We start from the raw sequence: 15,445 nt of genomic DNA, 5'->3' as shown, positions 1-15,445 counted from the left end.
CAAAGCAGTCCCTTTGAGCCTTTGGAGACATATTTCCATTGTTTCTGATCCAGACAAAACATTTAAGGGTATGACTCTTGGCCAACATCTAGAGAATCCCTTATATCTTCACTTTGCTTTTGTTTCTGTTTTTGTTTTTTCATTTTGCTAGGATATAGACCACAATAACCCAGAAGATATCACTTACTCTGATTATTTTGATCAGCCCTGATTATTTTTTAGTTCAACTTTGTCTCCAAAAAATGGTGTGGTTTCGTAGATGGTATAGCAGATGGCTAAGAGGGAGGCATGGGACTGGGCTTTGTTTATTGTCCCATATTCTCCTTTCCCAGATTTTCGGAAACAAACAAGCCCTGAGTTCTACTCACCATCATCTATAACAAACAAATGATAGACTTCTGAAAGAACATAAAACAAAACAAACAAGCAAACAAAAAGTTTTGACAGGGAATGCCTCTGAAGAAGAGAATTGGGTAGCTGGGTGAAAGAGGAAAGAGATTTGCTTTTCACTAAAGCTGTTCTGCCTTTTGACTCGTGTGCTGTGGCCATATACTATATATTAAAACAGTAATTTGTAAATCAGAAATGCATGAAATACTTTTTGTAGACCCTGATGATGTAAAGAAATAGAAACATGTTTCCTGCTCTCAAGGAGCTTATAATATCATTAGGGAGCCATAATGTTATTTTAAAAGGAAATTATAATAGTTTATACTTGTCTCTCCGCAAACTTGCTGCCTCATATGAGCCAAGTTATTTAACTACTTTGACTTCAATTTCCTTATTTGTGGAATGGGAAAATTGAATAAAATCACCACCTATTTCATTTATTTAATCATTTATTCATTCATTTAAATTTTCTATTCAATAATTTTTATTGAGGACTGAGGACTGTATTAGTTGATGTTTACTGTGTAGCCCCCACAAAACTTAGTAGCTTAAAACAAGAACCATTTATGCCAGGCATGGCGGCTCATGCCTGTAATCCCAGCACTTTGGGAGGCCGAGGCAGGTGGATCACGAAGTCAGGGATTCAAGACTAGCCTGACCAACATGGTGAAACCCTGTCTCTACTAAAAAATACAAAAAAAAAAAAAAATTAGCTGGGCGCGGTGGCAGATGCCTGTAATCCCAGCTACTCAGGAGGCTGAGGCAGGAGAATTGCTTGAACCTGGGAGGCGGAGGTTGCAGTGAGCCGAGATCACGCCACTGCACTCCAGCCTGGGCGACAGAGCGAGACTGTCTCTAAATAAATAAATAAATAAATAAGTATGTAAATAAATCAATAAATAAATGAAAACATGAACCATTTATTTAGCTCAAAATTTGACAGAGTAGCAAGTTGGGCCAGGCTCAGCTGGGTGATTCTTCTGCTAGTCTCAGTTGGACTCACTTATATGGCTGAAGTCAGCTGTCAGTCAGCTAAGGTAGCTTTGCTTCTGGATCTTGACTAGCTATTGGCTGGGGCAACAGAGGCAACTGCACCACCTGGCTCTCATGTGGTCAGCTAGCCTGGGTTTATTCACATAGCAGCCTTGGAAAGCAGCAAGACAGCAAAGTCTCAATAAAAAAGCACTTTTCAAGTCCTGACTAGAGTCACATTAATTAATGTCCCAATGGCAAAATCAAGTACACCCCGGACTTAAGGAGTGGAGAAAGATACTCCAAATGTGATGAAAGGAGCTATGAAGTAAATTGCAAGGGGGTATGGACAACGGAGGAGAATAATTTGAGGTCATTTTTGCAATTATCACAAGCATTGTGTGCTCCAAGTCTTGACCTGCATGTAGCTTACATTGTATGCTTTCTGTTGCTGAGTTTCTACTGCCAGCAAATGATCATTATGAAAATCTGGGGTGAAATGGACCACAGGGAAATTATTGGAAGGGAAGTGATTAGGTTGACAGAGCTATTAAGTTTAAGCAAACAAAACTTTCTTGAGATAGGCTATTCTGACTGGACTTTCCAGAATGTTTGTTTTTTTGTTAAGTTTTTACCTAAGGAAATCTATCTGCAAACCCAAATGATGGCATTACTCTGTTTGGACCCCTTAAGAGTTGAAGGAAGCATGACTATTAACAGATTTCCTTTACTGGGGCTCATGGATTTTGTTTGTTTGTTTGTTTTTAACTACAGCTTGTGGGGCAATAAGCTATATGTCTCCCTGACCACTGAGAATAGCAGGAATAAATAACTAACAATGAGTCCTAAACACATGCACCGTTCCTTCTACTGTGCCAAATACTGCAGGGATGTATTGAGGCAAAATACCGTTCCTTCCATCTGAAAGCTTGGCACGCAATTAGAAAAAAAAATAACATATCCAAAGAAACATAACTAACAATACCAGGTAGCAAACTAAATGATGATGAAGATGTTGAATCCACAATTCCCTCCAAGTATACAGTTTTTCCAGGTGTTCCAGCTGTTCTTACACTATCTATTCCACATTTCCTGCTGTGTCAAGGGTCCCCTAGTAAATTACCCTGTGGAGAGGAAATGTTACTCAGCCTGACATGACTGTGCTCCATCACACTCTCTCACACACCTGCTCACAACCTCACATCCCTCACACACCTGTCATCACCCACAAGACACCCCCTCCTCTCTCCTGTGCATCAGCCTATAAATTTACATCCTCATTTTTCCAGTTAGATGAGACATTTTCTCCCAAACACACAAACCAAAATAAGAAGAAAATGTCGCTTAAAAAAGTAGTGAAAAATATGCACTAGCAAATATTCCTTCTCCACAGCAGCTCTAAAGAGAAACTAAAGTCCATTTAGATAATGATCCGAAAGGCAGAAGGCCGAGGCAGGTGGATCACCTGAGGTCGGGAGTTCAAGACCAGCCTGACCAACATGGAGAAACCCCGTCTCTACCAAAAATACAAAAATTAGCCATGCGTGGTGGTGTGTGCCTGTAATCCGAGCTACTCGGGAGGCTGAGGCAGGAGAATTGCTTGAACCTGGGAGGCAGAGGTTGCGGTGAGCCGAGATCATGCCATTGCACTCCAGCCTGGGCAACAAGAGCAAAACTCCATCTCGAACAAAAAAAAAAAAAAAGAAAAGGGAAGCTTGCCTACTAGAGAGAGCACTTTCCCAGGACTCAGAGGCCCTGAGTCCTGAAGATGATGTTGATGCTTCTCATTGTATAAACTGGAGTGTGATCATTGCAACTTTGAGTTTTCTTATCTCTCAAAGAATGTTGGCTGGGCGTGGTGGCTCACGCCTGTAATCCCAGCACTTTGGGAGGCCGAGGCAGGCAGATCACTTGAAGTCAGGAGTTCAAGACCAGCCTGGTCAACATGGTGAAACCCCGTCTCTACTAAAAGTACAAAAATTAGCCAGGGATGGTGGTGGGTGCCTGTAATCCCAGCTACACAGGAGGCTGAGGCAGGAGAATCGCTTGAACCCAGAAGGCAAAGGTTGCAGTGAGCCGAGATCACACCACTGCACTCCAGCCTGGGCAACAGAACGAGACTCCATCTCAAAAAAAAAAAAAAAAAAAAAAAAAGTAATGAATATTATATTTCCCTCATCTACCTCAGAGAGTTGTTACAATTTTCCAATGTGATAAGTATATAAAATCATTCTATAAAATGTAAACTATCACATTAGTGGGTTAACAACTCTATCTAAAATCAGGAGTAGTACTCAAAATTTATTTACTTAAACGTCCTCTTTGAGAATGTCCTCAAAGAGGACATCCAATCAGTTGGAATAAACACCAACCAGCAGTACTGGGGCTTACCCACAGACTCTCAACCTGTCTCTGCAGATCTTCATACAATATAGTAGGAGAAGTGGTATAACCAGCAAAATACCAAAATAGGTACATGGGCAAAACCATTGTGAGTCCTGCCCAAGCTCAAAAATAAATACTTGTTATGGCATGCATAGATTCCTAATGCCAATATAATTTTTAAGGACTTTGAAACCCATCCCAGCACTTTGGGGGACCAAGGCAGGAGGATCACTAAGGCCGGGAATTCAAGGCTGCAGTGAGCTATAATCATGACACTACACTGCAGCCTGAGCAACAGAGCAATACCTTGTCTCTAAGACAATAATAATAAAATATCAATTTTTAAAAAGACTTTGAAACCCCAAATTTAAAGAAAGCATGACCATAATAAAAAATTAATAAAACGAATGTGTGATCTTAATAGTCACATTTCCAAGAACTTTTAAGTATCATAGACTTCTGTATACTTTCACCTATATACCAACTAAATATCAAACGTCTACCAACTCATATGCAAGTGCCTTGCCTTTGCTGGTGCCAAATGAAGTTTTGTTCCCTTGAAGCTAATGATTAAAAAGGTTTCAGAAAAGATACCCCCCACACCAGAAGATATCATCTTTTTAAACGTTATTATAAATCAGATGTATGGCATTCTGCCCCAGTGAACTTCAGAGTAACTAACACGTGAGATGTTCTTATAGCAAATAGAAAATGTCTGAATTTAGGGCCCTGTAAACGCTTAAAAGTCCCACTGCTAGAGCTGATATATATCTAGGTATGTCTGGCAAACCGATGTGCTAGACTTGCCAAATGTCTATTTGAAAGAAGGATGAAGAAACCTCCCAGGGGAGAATACATTCCAAGGGAATAGAAGTTCAAACAGATAAGCATGGCCGATGGAGTCAGGGAAGGGACAATTCTAAGGTGGGCGTGGTGTTTGAATGGAATTTGAGTACTGCAGAAGTTGGTTGGATGGTAGATAGCTCCAGGAGGGAGAATTTGGAGTTTTCAGTTGTTAAATTTGGGGGCATAAGCTGCACTGCTTTGGTAAATCCCTGTGTGCCCACATACACGTCACCCCCATTCTACCCATCTCTGGGATCTCAAGTGTCTAGGATTACTCCCCCTCTGCAGAACGCAGCACTGTGGCACCCCGAGTAGCCGCACACAGGAGAAGCCCCAACCAGTGCCCAGCAGATGGCAGCAGTGCCCGGCTGAGGTAGCAGAGCCTATGACCCTGGCGCCCTGGTCTCCAGGGCCTGGAGGTGGGGTGCAGGGAACAGAAGCCCATGGATCTGAAAGACATAAATGATGACTGGGGATGCTGGGGCACCCCTAGGCTCGGAGTTCAGGCCTGGGGCCTTGCCTTCTCTCCATCTCCTCCTATTTTCAAGGTGCTCTCCTTAAGTGCCATGGTTTTAAAGGTCATGTCTGTGCCAACGACTTCAATTTGTATCTCTCCCTCAGAACTTTCTTCTGCACTTTAGACTCATACATCTCACTGGCTACTAGGTATCTTGGTTTGCATATCAAACTTAAAATGTGTAACACTGAGCTTCCAATCCTCTCTCTTCAATAACATCTTGAGCCTGCAGCCTTCCTTATCTCAGTCCATGGGAACATCATCCTTCCAGTTGATTGGGACAAAAATCTGACAATCATTCTCACCTCCTTTCTTTCTCCACTTCCCATTCATCAGCAAACAGTAAAATCCAGTAACTTCTTACTGTCTCCACTGCTTCTCTTTTGGTCTAAAAAAATCCTCATCTCGTCCCGGCTACTCGGGAGGCTGAGGCAGGAGAACGGCGTGAACTCGGGAGGCGGGAGCTTGCAGTGGGCCGAGATTGCGCCACTGCACTCCAGCCTGGGCGATGGAGCGAGACCCTGTCTCAAAAAAACAAAACAAACAAACAAATAAAACCCCTCATCTCTGGGCTGAATAATTTCAATACATGAAGGCATGGAATTGGAACTAAAACACTTCTCTTTCTAGTGCCAGAAAAAAAAGGGGAAGTGGGGGGCAGTAATTCAGTTTCCCTTAAGGCAGGAAATTAGAAAACTCATTAAATGAACTCTATAAGGATGTATGTGCTAAGTATGCCTCAAGTACGATTAATGAAAGCAGGATCCCTCCTATCAAAATCCTGCCCTTTCTTCCGGATTCAGCACACCTCTATCCTCATGTGCAGTCTTTCCTAACATGTGCCTGTGGGGACCTTTCCTGGCCCAGAATCCCATAGCACTGGCAGTACATGTCGTCTGTGTAGCCTTTGATTATGTTCCATGTTGGATTGTGCACTTATCTTTTCACAGGTGTTAATCTTATTGCTCCAGCTGAATAATGGGGCAGAGGCTTTGGTTTGAGCCACAGGTGGGATTCAAACATGTCTGAGCAGCCTGGCCTCTGTGATGACCAAATGGTGGGGCCACCAAATGTTATTTGCATATGAGGTTTTTGCTGAAGATTTTGGACGGGTGCGTGTGTATATATTGCCAAGTGGAGGAGGGGAATACAAGGAACGCGGGAAAGCCTTGTGTCTGACTTTAGATATTAGACCTCTACTAAGTCTTCAGATTCAGGTATGGGGAAGAGAACTGTGATATGGTTTGGCTGTGTCTGCACCCAAATCTCATCTTGAATTGTAGTTCCCATAATTCCCATGTGTTGTGGGAGGGACCTGGTGGCAGATAATTGAATCATGGGGGAGGTTTCCCTCACACTATTCTTGCAATAGTGAATAAGTCTCAGGAAACCTGATGATTTTATAAGATAAACCATTTTTCTTCATAAGAGAACCTTTTGCTTGGCTCTCATTCCCTCTTTGCCTGCTGCCATGTAAGACGTGCCTTTCTCCTTCCGCCACGATTGTGAGTCCTCTCCAGCCACATGGAACTATGAGTCCATTAAACCTCTTTTTCTTTATAAATTACCCAGTCTCAGGTATGTCTTTATCAGCAACGTGAGAACAGACTAACACAAACTGTTAGCAGAACTGACAGATTTTTATTATTACTATTATTATCATTTTTTTTTGAGCAAGCCTTGAGACCAGGGTGCTAAGCTATCCTGCTTTGATGCCCATATGATAAAGAGAAACAGACAGCAGGTAAGCCAGGCACAGCTGCCCACTTCTCAGAGAGAATCAACCTCGCAGTGGCTCAGGGAGTGCTAGAGCCTCCAAGGGCAGATTTGGACCCCATTAAAAAGGAGAATTCTGGACTCCCTCCAATGACAGATGGGTAAAAATGTTTACTAGCAGTGTATGTTGGCATTTTACGGACTTGGGCCAACTCCCTTTTGAATCCCCATTGAAAGTAGTGGGGAATTGTATGGGGGTTTACACTTCTACCTTTTTCAGGCACTTAACTTGATCTGGAGATATTTAAATTATTACTTTTACAGTGACCTCATTTTTAGCCATAGACCAGTGAAGCAGGAGGAGCCTGGACCCTAATATAAACCCCATAGGTGGAAGGCCTCAGGTGTTCACTCATCCAGAGCAACCCAACTCACTGATCTGGTGGATTCTGGTTAAACAAATTTTTCTAAAATAGGAATAAGTAACAAATGTCGATTCTGATTCAGGCATATCAGAATCCAGACTGAGAGGAACAGCTCCAATTTCTAGCAGTGGACTGGGAAAGTCACATAACCTCGCTGAACTTCATTTTCCTTACAATAAAAAGTAGTAATTCTTAGCCTGACTTCTTTGAGGGGTGTTAGGGTAATTCACTGAGATCAAGTATGTGAAAATGCTTTAAAAACTATCATGCACCAAAAACTTAAAATACTATTTTTATAACAGTTATAAGAAACACAATTCTTATGATTCTCTATCTGAAGATTAAAGATTGAGACAATAATTAGAATAATTTTTTTCTAAATTTACTTCATTAGCTAAATATTTGGAACAAAACAGAGCTAACTGGTTTTCCAATTCGCCTTGCACCACTGAAATTAAAAAGAAGGCCTAGGAAATAAGCTTTTGGCTTTATCAAGGGTTTAAGTCCATTTGCTTATTATTAAAATGTCCCACACATTGGGAGGGGCGCAGCCTCAAACACTGATGGGGAAAACATCACCATTTGAATGTGATTTTATTACTTATAAAATGAAAGACATCCCAGGTATGTTATCTTCTTCTTGCCTTCTTCAGTGATTTAATGCCAGATGATGTTTTGTATCTTTCAAACATTTTTACATCACAGAGCTTCTCGCACGCTATTGTTACTCTCCCAATTATAAAAGCTAAGAGATTTTTCTCAGTGCCTTCCTTCCCTGACACTGATGTCTTCTATAAGAGGCAGCATTTTGGAGGCTGCTATTTCTTGGGGGAAGTGATAGCTTTTGCTAATATTATTAATATCACATTTTTTATTCCCACTGAGCGTTTTTCTGACCAGATCACCAATTTGTGCAAAAATAGTCCCATAGAAATTTTAAAAGGTCTAAAATTGCACATTTCACCTTATGTTGATTTTTTATTTTTATTTCTATTTTACGTATATATAATTAATATACAATAAGATGCACAGATCTTTAAGAGATTCGGGCATTTTCACAATTGTATATGTCACATAACTAGCCAAAATGGGATAATAAAAGTATGGATATTAGAGAAATCCACCAGCAATAACGATAGCAATATTGCAGATCTGTGTTTTTCTACTGCTCTGCCTGAGCTAGCTTTTATGACTTATAGGGTGGCTTTCCAGAGTACTTGGGATTCCAGTAGATTTGTAGAGAAAAGAATCTCAACACTGATCCTGTCCAACTCTGATGTTAATTTGCAGGCTCAAATATTTAGTAGATTTGCACACATCTTTAGATATTTTCTGATTATAAAGGTAACTCGTGTTATTGAAAAAAATAGAAAATACAAGAAACATCAGAAAATGCTTTTAAAATCTAAAAAAGAAAACATAGATTATTCAAAATCAATGCAATATCAGCTTTATGTCTTTCTACCTTCTTTTAGGTACACATTTTTAGATAAAGAGATGATAGATAGCGGTGTGTGTATGTGTGTGTGTGTATTCTTAAAACAGAATCTTACTACACATACTGTTTTATGCTATTAAGCAAAAGAAGGGATTTCTGATTGAAGGTCCTGCACCCTCCGTCTAACCTGTGCATCTTTCTTCGCAGACACTGGAGCTCACTGGAGAAGACAGGCTTGTGGATCTCAGGAATCCACCTAGCCCCACACCCAGCCTCCAGAGAGGGCTGCAGCCCAAGTCCCTTGGGGGCCTGCCTGTCCAGCTTTCTGAAGGCTAGGAAGCTGACAAGGACCTTCTGAATGTCTAATTCAAGACTTGTAAAACATTGCAGGGTATTTAGATATCAGTATGCATGAGCCTCTCTCCTCTGGCCAATTATTGGGTTCCCTGTGTGAACAAATCCTTCTCAGCAGCTCCTGGCATGAGATGCTTACCGCTGATGCCATAAATCGCCTGCCTACGACGACCAGCATGGAGTTGTGTGAGTATTTCTAATCCTGTCATCGAAACTCAGTGTGATTCCGAGACTGTGCACTGAGGAATTGGGTTTTCAAGACAAAGTGACTACAATATAAACCAATAAGATGAATTTCTGTGGGCAAATTTATTCAAGGTCATTATTTTATCTGTTTCTTTGATTAATATTTTCAGAAACCTTCAAGTTCTCTATTTCCAATTTTCTCCACCCTCAGTATAAAATCATTTTTTTCACGCAAAGTAATGTTAGCTTGTTAATCTTCAAGTAACACCCTCCCCCGCCAAAAAAAAAAAAATTATATTGCCCCTCTTGAATAGCGCATAGATTCCAAGAAGGATGAAGTAAGAAGAGATCCTCTCCAGGCTATATGAAAGATAAGAGCTGTGTTCACAAAGGAAAGGGAGGGTAGAAAAGAAAAAAAAAAAGAAAGAAGAAATTGATTCCAAGTGAATTCAGCAAAAGAAAGCCTGTGATTCAGCAAAAGAAAGCCATGGACGATTATGTTTAGCTCACAGACACTCATATAACTGCAGCTGGGAAAAGACTGCTCTCTAATCTCAGCCTTCCCAGCCAGCCAGAAGCAAGGAACATTACTCATAGCTATTCTTTCTTTCTTTTTAGGAAAATCAGCTCCAAGGGAAGATCCCATGCTGTCTAAAAGAAGCTACCTATGAAGAAAAATGAGAACAATTAAGCCCTAAATCTGTACAAGAAACTTTTAACAGCTGAGACTCTAAAACGAAAATGGAAATAATGCTAATGATTATGTTTTATAGCCTCAACATGCCTTACATCTGGAAAAGTTCCAAAGCCCTCAGCAGGTTGTCACATTGATAAAAGGGGCCCCTGCTGAGACGCAGCTGCTTCTGGGGAAGAGCTGGCATCTGGAGAACAGCTGCATATCAATCCCCCACCACACGAAGGGCAGGAAAGCAAGAGAAACCGTCTGCAAGGACACTCCTTCCACCTGGAGCCTCTCTCTCTTGCTCCAAAGACTCAGAGAGGCTGAGGCTTCACATTAGCAAACTAATTGAAATGCAATCCAAGCTTAACTATCTGTAAACCTGGTGGAAGGAGATGGTTTGGACAGTCAAGCTTTCTAGCTAACTGAAGGTTTCTGACACATTAAAGCACCAACAATTGTTTAACCATTACAGATGAAAACTTTTCTAAAACGTATCGCTGGATTCCCTAACCTTCTCAATCAAATTAACTATATATTCCTAATGTTACAGCTTCAATTAATCCTGTTCCATCAACACAAAAAGACTGATGCTGGGTCAGTGGGCTTTTGTTTTTGTTAGAGAGACTTCCAAAACATACTCTATATATAACAATGTGTGTGGGGGTGCATACACACACAGACATATGCACACACACTTATACACAGAGGGAAGGAGGAAGAGAGAAATGACACTGGAGTGGAAACTGGCAGACTACATTACTAGTTTCATGCTTCTATTAACTAGCAGTGTGACTTTCAACTAGTCACCTCACTCTCTATGTCTCTATTTTCTCATAATCTGAGGGAGGGTCCCTAAGTGTTCTTTAAGATCTGATCAGATTTTAATCTTGGTGATTCTCTATGAATTATATTGCTCCAAATTCTTTCCTCTCTTCTCCCCCTTTCTCCTTCTTTCTTTTTCTTCTTCCTTCCTTTTTTTCTTTTTTTACTTTCCAACATCTAATTATTCATTATTTGAAGTGCCAAATGAACCAAGTAAATCTGAAATGCTATGCAATCCAAAAGAACTACAATGTGTAAGCTGTGGCCAACACTGAGGTGTGCATTTTCAATTAGATGTCATGGTACCTGTCCTCAAGGATCTTAAGTATCATTATAACATTATTATAACACATTTCAATAATCACATTTCCTCTACCTGATCCCTAACATTTGAGAATTACATGTGTTGAGAATTAAGAAGGCAAGAGAGTGGCCAGGCGCAGTGGCTCACACCTGTAATCGCAGCACTTCAGGAGTCCCAGTGGGGAGGATCACTTGAGTCCAGGAGTTTGAGACCAGCCCTAGCCACAAAGCAAAGCCCCTAAATACAAAGATTAGCTGGGTGTGGTGGTGTGAGATTGTAGTCCCAGCTGCTCAGGAGGCTGAGGCAGAAGGATCATTTGAGCCAAGGAAGCAGAGGTTGCAGTGAGCTGGAATTGCGCCACTGCACTCCAGCCTGGGCAACAGAGGGAGACCCCATCTTAAAAAAAAAAAAAAAAAAAAAAAAGGCAAAAGATAGCCATGGACAAAAATAACCTAAGAAGTCTTCTTGGAAGTAGTGTATGAGATATGTAAGATTTGCATTCAAAGAATGGGTTAAGAAAGATACAGTAGTTGAGGACACAATATGCACAAAGACGAGGGCATAGAAGAAACATGATCTGCACAAGGTAATACTCATCGGGCATCCAAAGCGGCCCACAGTGCTGCCATAGAGCACACTGCAGACTATATAAACTAGAAAGAACGAGCCCAGGCTAAAGGACTTAAAAACTAAAATTTTATAAAATATTTATTGAGCAAAACAAATCGGTCTTCAGGCAAGACACGCCAGTAGGACCACAGTTTGTGACCTTGTATAATTATTTCAATGGCTTGCTGTTTTATTTTTAAAAAGAGAGGTAAAAGGAATCAAAATTATATGGCCTTCATAAAAAAATAAGTCGACTTAAGGTCTTGATGAATAAAACATGACGAGGTTAATTTTAAATCCCTTTTATACTATCTGTCTTCTGAAGAATTTTCCATTGTCCTTGTACAATAATGTAAGTTATCACATTGGGGATTTTTTGCTCATCTATAAATAGCTCTTTCACCCATAACCCAGGGATGACAGCCTACTTTTATTATTTTAACATGCCTCCAACTATGAAAATGCTATTTCTAGGAAGTCCAAACTGCCACAGCAACATTGCTGTCGGTTAGTCTGAAATGCACATGTTAGGCAAATGTTGCAAGACAGAGGGCTTCTATGCTGAGCCTTATTCTGATTCAGCAAAAGAAGGAAAAACCAGAGGGAAAACTGGCACTATACTGCTAGGAAGAAATCCTGGCAGCCGATGCTAAGGGTAATTATCAAAACCAGGAGCCGGAAGGGTTTATGTTTTTTCCTCAGGGGGTCCCCGGGACTCAAGACAGGCCAAGAGATAAACCAAACCATATTGAAAAGATTTGAATTGATAAACCATGTTTACAGCTCAAGTTATCTACTTCTGTGAATTCAATTATCCCTTCTCAGATAGACGTCGTCTAAGAAAGAGGGAGCTTTAGCTATAAGAATTTCAGGATTTTCATTCTAAAGCGAGGTTATCACAAACATGGAGGTGGAAGCAGAGAACTGTAGGCTGTAAATATTGAACATTTTCAGTCATGTTAGCAAGACCCAAGCGAGGATACATTCTGAAGCTTAGTCACAGCTCACAAAACACGCCGGGGCTGGCTGTGTACCTTTGCGCCACGCTTGACTACACAAGACCCCAACAGACAAAGCTCAAGGCAGGGCCCGACACTGAGAGTGCTTGTGACTAATAATAAATATAGATTTATAAAAATCCTGAACTGCATTGTGTACTTAGGTCAGCCTCAAGAAACCAGGCATCTGACCTAGAGACCCCAGGCATCGGACTATCACGACACTGCCTGACTGCCCTAGCTCATGACATCAGTCCTCTAATAATCAGGCCTTAGGCATCTACTTGCCAGCAGCCTCAGGCTGGGAGCCTCTCTCTGGAGCCTGCCCAAAAATTAAAAAAACAAACTAATTAAAATCAAGAAGACACAAGTCATCCAGAATGAAGTTAGCTCCTTCCAGAGAGGCTGGTGTCTCTGCAAATCCTGGAGACAAGGAACCATTTTCAAGCGCAGTTCATCCAGCCCGCCCAGCTGGCTCATGCTGTCGTGATGCCGCTTTCAAATTTCCTCCCTCATAGTTTTGGGGTGAGAGTTCAGGCTCTGGAGTCACAAGGCCTGGAATAAAATCCTGATTTTGCCATTATCTAATTTTAGTGGCTCAATTTCTCTCTGTCTCAGTTTCCCCATCTGCCAAAAAAATGATATAGTACTAGTACTTTCTCCTAGCATTGTTATGATAATAATGGAAATAATGATTCCAGAGTGCTTAGAACAGGAGCTGATGTATAGTAAGTGCTCCATGATGATTGGCTATTCTTATTAACATCCTCCTTCAGGGGATTGCTAGAACTTACTCTTTTGGAGAGATTGTAGCCCACAGTGTCTCCCCATCCTGTTGTCTGCCATCCTCAATGGCAGCCCCACAAACACTGTCCTCTCCAGCATTTCATCCTCTTATGGCCAAGTGCTTCCACCCATCTGACCACTCTGCCAAGCCTCCCTTCCCTTCCAGACCTTTCAGCTGTGCCTTCTAGAATCCCTCTTTGATAGGGTAATTTTTCCCCTAATGCTACATCTACCATCATCTTGGATGATGTAAACGTGTACCAAATGGTGGTATATCCAAACAGGCAATCAAGAATTGCACATTTAAATGTGAACGAGGGCAATGCAGAGAGTCAGAATGAAGGAAATAGGCCCATCTAACAATGTAAATGAGATAGTAAAGGGCAACAGCATTGGCGTCAACTGAGAGGGGTGGGGAGGCAGGCGGACCTGGAAAGGGAACAGCCCCATCTCAACACCAGCAGGAAATGCCACAAGAGAATGCAAATTTCTAGAGAAACCAGAAATCCAGGATTTTTAAATATTGGCAATGATTTCATTTTTTGAAAGAAAGAAAGCAGAATGCAGGCCAAATCAAATAAGCTTTTGGGCCAGATTCTGTTCATGAGCAGCCACGTTGGAAACAGCTCCTGTCTCCTAGACAGCATCCTTTTTTCCTGACTTCCACACGATCCCCACGCTGTCCTCTATGTCTCTCTTCTAACCCTGTTTTCATCTGCTTAATTCTTACACATCCTTCAGATCTCATTTTAAATCTCACCCTCTAACTCCCCATTTCCTATTGCCAAGGTATTATAATTTTCTATGTATAACTTCCTGTTTGCTTATCTGAATTTTCCCCTAGGCTGTCAGCACGATAAAGACAGGCACCTTAATTGTCTTATTCACCATCCGATCCCTTCTCTCAACAGAGTGCCTGGCACTTTGGAGATGTGCAATAAGTATTTGTAAGTCAAATGAATCAAAGAATAATTTCTCAATCCCCGGTATGCACTCTCATCAAAATCCTGAGTTCCATCTGCACATTTCCTAAAGTCCATGGCTGTCCTTGCCCAGAGAGATTCTCAGCAGCTAAACCTTACATCTGTGGTGGTTTTAAAAATCTGTCCAATTCTCCCTTCAGGAGAGGTGGAGCTTAATTTTCCTCCCGTCAAGTGTGGGCTGGATTTAGTGACTTGCTTCTAACAGATAGAATGCCGCAGGAGTGTTGGCATATCACTTCAGAATTGGATTATTAAAAAAACTATGGCTCTCTTCTGGGCTCCGGCTCTGCCTCCCTCCTTCCTTCCCTCCCTCCCTCTTTCTCCTCCTTTTCCTCTCCTTCCTCCTCCTGCCCCATCCTCTCTCTTTTTGCCTCTCTTGCATCCCTTGCCCTGAGAAAAGCCATATTGTGAGCAGTTCTATGGAGACGTCCACGTGGCCAGAAACTGCAACCTCTTGCCAACAACCATGTGAGTGTGCTTAGAAGAAGCTCCCGCAGACACAGTCAAATCTTTAGATAACAGCAGTCTGGGCCGACAGCTTGACTGAAACCTCCTGAGACACCCAGAGCCACCTAACCAAGCCACTTCCTGATGCCCGACCCTGACAGACTATGCGATATAATAAATGTTTGCTGCTTTTAGCCACTTAGTCTTGGGAAAATTTGTTAGTCAGCAATAGATTGCTAGTAAAATATCACAAAACTGAATTTATTATCACCCTCCTCCCTCCCCTCCCCCACCTTCAAACATAATCCTCCTCTGAAGTCACCAGGTTCTATTAATGGCTCAGTCATTTCAAGTCACCAAGGCTTTACAAACGTGAGGTCCTTTTTGACTCTCCCCTGCTTCCTTGCACCCCATATCTAGTTAGTTATCAAATCCTGTCTATGATAATGCTGCAACATACTTTGCCCACTCCCTCCTCTCCATTTCTATCCCTATTTTTCTATTTTAGACCTTCCTTACTCTTTTCCTGGACTCCCTAACTGATTTTCCTGGCTCTGTTTATTTTTTCTCTCTCTCAAAGGCATC

At 41.5% G+C, this 15,445-nt stretch overlaps 1 long non-coding RNA gene across 1 annotated transcript in view, besides 1 other annotated feature; it reads right to left on the bottom strand.

The window, feature by feature from the left end:
- Positions 1-15,445, bottom strand: part of LOC107986931 (uncharacterized) — a 290,196-nt gene that overhangs the window by 218,007 nt on the left and 56,744 nt on the right. The window lies entirely within an intron of this gene.
- Positions 9,576-10,558: an enhancer, noted in NCBI's record as "OCT4-NANOG hESC enhancer chr8:23836477-23837459 (GRCh37/hg19 assembly coordinates)". NCBI's record gives its function as "activates a minimal SCP1, AML or CMV promoter by ChIP-STARR-seq in primed H9 embryonic stem cells {active_cell/tissue: H9 hESC(primed)}" and the evidence as "EXISTENCE:reporter gene assay evidence [ECO:0000049][PMID:30033119]".

Source organism: Homo sapiens, chromosome 8, assembly GCF_000001405.40.
Source record: "Homo sapiens chromosome 8, GRCh38.p14 Primary Assembly".
NCBI classification, from domain to species: Eukaryota; Metazoa; Chordata; class Mammalia; order Primates; family Hominidae; genus Homo; species Homo sapiens.
Note: the sequence above shows the minus strand (reverse complement) of the source record. Positions and strands in the feature narration are given on the sequence as shown.